Here is a 3,829-nt window from a genome sequence, read left to right as displayed (position 1 = left end):
CACTAAAAATACAAAAAGAAAATCAGCTGGGCGTGCTGGCGGGCGCCTGTAGTCCCAGCTACTCGGGAGGCTGAAGCGGGAGAATGGCGTGAACCCGGGAGGCCGAGCTTGCAGTGAGCCGAGATCGCACCCCTGCACTCCAGCCTGGGCGGCAGAGCGAGACTCCGTCTCAAAATTAAAAACAACAACAACGACAACAAAAGAAAACACAAAAACAGAGCAAGGCAAACAGCCACGGGTGCTGCTTCTGAGATGAGGCTGTGAAGCAGCGGCTGCACCTCCCTGGCAGGCTCCCTCTCTTACCCACCGTTGCCAGCTCGCTTGGATGGAGCCAGCAGCCGTGCTGTGAGCTACCCTACAGAGAGGCCAGTGGGCCGAGAAACTGAGCGTGGCCTGTGGCCAACAACCAGCAAGGAACTGAGCTTCTCAGTGTGACGGCCTGTAAGTGTTGCCAACGACCATGTGAGCGAGCTTGGAAGTAGATCCCTCCCCAGTCGAGCCACCAGGCCTTGGGATCATCTGTGACACAGCAGCAGACAGCTAAGAAGACCTCAGGGAGTATGAAAAGCTTGTGTGTGTTTTTCTGAAATGAAAATACTTTTAAATATTATGTGTTGAGAACATGTGCTCTAGATGAGAGGGGACAAAGTGATCAATCACAAGCCACAATCAACCTGCACGTAGGCTTGCTGTGTTTCCCCTCCTTGGACATGGGATGGCCTACACACTGTTTCAAAACATTTTGCACCGGCATTTAGAACTCGGGAGAATCACATGCACACTGAGATTGCTGGCCTCCCTTGACAAGCTGGAAGCTGGGCAGCTGTAATCCTCATTCCTGTGGGGCAGCTGCCAGTGGAGGTTGGTCGTGCTGTGCTGAATTCGGGCAGGCACTCTCTGTTTGTCGTAAAACACAGTGCTCCGGGCCGGGCGCAGTGGCTCAAGCTTGTAATCCCAGCACTCTGGGAGGCCGAGGCAGGTGCATTACCTGAGGTCAGGAGTTCGAGACCAGCCTGGCCAACGTAGTCAACCCTCTCTCTACTAAAAATACAAAAATTAGCTGGGCATGGTGGCAGATACCTGTAATCCCAGCTACTCAGGAGGCTGAGGCAGGAGAATTGCTTGGACCTGGGAGGTGGAGGTTGCAGTGAGCTGAGATGGCGCCACTGAACTCCAGCCTGGGCGACAGAACAAGACTCCATCTCAAAAAACAAAAAAATCAAAAACAAAACAAAACAAAACAAAACAAAAAAACACTGCTCCTTATTGTGCAGAGGCCAAATGCCAGCTGCATCGTATTGCATTTCCACCATTTCTTATGATAGAGTTAAGAGAATGTTAAGATACAGCAAAACACTGCTGCCAAACCTCCATCAAAGGACAGTGAAGACTGAGACAGTCCAAAGTCCAGACGGAGCCCAGCGGGATGGCTCATCTCTGCTCCATGTGATGTCTGCTGAGGCTGGCATGCCCAGGGTGGTGTCTTCATCTGTTTGGTACTTTGGCTAAGATTGCTCCGATTGCCAGGGGTGGCTCAGCCGCAGTCGTACTTGGGAAGCCTCGGCTCCCACTGTTAGTTGAGTTCTTTGGTTCTCCTCCTCATAGTCTCAGGACGTTTCCCTCTCCAAGTGGCCTTTCTGGGTCATCTTTCCAGCAGAGAGCCGGACTTCTTACATCTTATTTCTGACATGACAGCTCTCGAGGGTGCAAAAGTGGAAACTGCCAGGCCTTCTCAAGGCTTAGGACTGGAACTGGCCCTGTGTCACTTCTGACTCATTCTGTCCGTTAAAGCAAGCGACACAGGCTCAGCGCATATTCTAGAGGAGAGGACTACACGAGGGTGTGAATGTTGGGAGGCATGACTCGCTGGGGACCATCGAGGTTGCAAAATGTGTCCATGCTTCCCAGGAATACTTACAAATATGCTATTGGGGACCATTCTGGAATTTTTCACTTGGAAATGAAAAGAAGGGGGAGAAGCTGACCCCAGAGAACAGGAAAACATGGAGCTACTTGGATTACACACTGAGAAAGTGAAAAACGGACTGGCAGCTGGAAGCTGCCACAGGGGCCATAATGTTTCCAAATGAATATGAACTGCTTTTGCAGAATATCACAATACGTGGGCAAGGCAAGCACACAACCACATCAACTCCAAAGGGTCCCTCTCTGACTCCCCTGGGACACAATTGCTGTTTTTTTGTTTTGTTTTGTTTTGTTTTTTTAGACAGAGTCTTACTGTGTCGCCCAGGCTGGACTGCAGTGTTGCAATCTCGGCTCACTGCAATTTCTGCCTCCCAGTTCAAGCGATTCTTCTGCCTCAGCCTCCCGAGTAGCTGGGATTACAGGATTACAGGCACCCGCCACCATGCCTGGCTAATTTTTGTATAATTAGTAGAGACGGGGGTTCGCCATATTGGCCAGGCTGGTCTCGAACTCCTGACCTTGTGATCCGCCTGCCTTGGCCAAGGCCTCCCAAAGTGCTGGGAATACAGGCGTGAGCCACTGTGCCCGGCCTTTTTTTTTTCTTCTTCTTCTTTTTTTTCTGAGACAGAGTCTCCCTCTGTTGCCCAGGCTGGAGTGCAATGCCGCAATCTCGGCTCACTGCAACCTCCACCTCCTGGGCTCAAGTGATTTTCCTGCCTCAGCCTCCTGAGTAGCTGGGATTTCAGGTGTGTACCATCAATCCTGGCTAATTTTTGTATTTTTAGTAGAGACGGAGTTTCACCATGTTGGCCAGGCTGGTCTCGAACTCCTGACCTCAAGTGATTCACCCGCCTCGGCCTCCCAAAGTGCTGGGATTACAGGCATGAGCCACCTCGCCCAGCCCACGATTGCTTCTTAACCCAATAACAACATTAATCTTTCTTGTTCTTCCCATCTCCTAGGTAAATGTTATGAAGAATCATCAAACTTCCCCTGCTTCCGGATGGCGCCCAATTCAGAACCCACTTACATTCCTGGAAACCCTCCTTCGGCTCACCCAGCATGAGCCCACATCCTAGAGGCCTCTCCCAACTCAGTCCTTCCCGTCTGTGTGCACTCCCCAGTGGCAGCCCAAGCTTAAATGAGGGAATGGTCCTGGTGGTCCTCCGCTGGGGGCGCTGGGGCAACATGTGTTCATACATTCTTTATTCAATGACTTTTACAGTCTGACCCACACTTCTTCCTTTCTTCCCAAGGCTTCAGGCTGCCTCGTCCCAGGGTCCGACTCCATCTCCAGCACTCAGGCCCCCTAGGACTAGCCTAGATACACGGACCTCCTGGGATGGGGAAGCACTGTCTTAGCATTGACCAGAGGGGCAGCTTCTGAAGGCCTGACCTCAGCACATGCAAAGGGAGGAGTTCCCAGTCGGACCTGGCAGCCTTCCGGGTATGCGCCCCTGTCTGAGGAGCACACCTGCTCACTCTCAGGGTAGGCTGGACTGAGGAATTGACCGACCTCACCTGTTGGGTCAAGGTCAGCCTCTTTACTCTGTGTCCCCGGTGAGGGACAGGGCCCAGCCCTGATCAGGGATGTTCTGGTGGGGGGTCAGCTCTGAAGAAGCCATGGGGAAAGAATGCTAAACTCAGGGAAGCAAAGGGCAGAACTGAGGGTGGAGGTCAAAACCCATCCCTGCTCAGAAGAGAGGACAGGACCCATGGGGAAAGCAGGAACAGGCTGAAGCCCCACAGGTCATTCTGGACACCATGGCTGAGGCCACCCCCCGTGCCTGCCATGGGCAGATGCTTTATTCTCTTTCTTTTTCTTTTTTCTTTTTTCTTTTTTTATGCCTCACCTTGCTCTGCCCTGCCCTGCTTTGCTTCTTTTCTTTTTTTTTTTAGATGG

Source organism: Homo sapiens, chromosome 5 (genome assembly GCF_000001405.40).
Source record: "Homo sapiens chromosome 5, GRCh38.p14 Primary Assembly".
NCBI classification, from domain to species: Eukaryota; Metazoa; Chordata; class Mammalia; order Primates; family Hominidae; genus Homo; species Homo sapiens.
The sequence above is the reverse complement of the archived record's forward strand: the minus strand, read 5'-3'. Positions refer to the sequence as shown.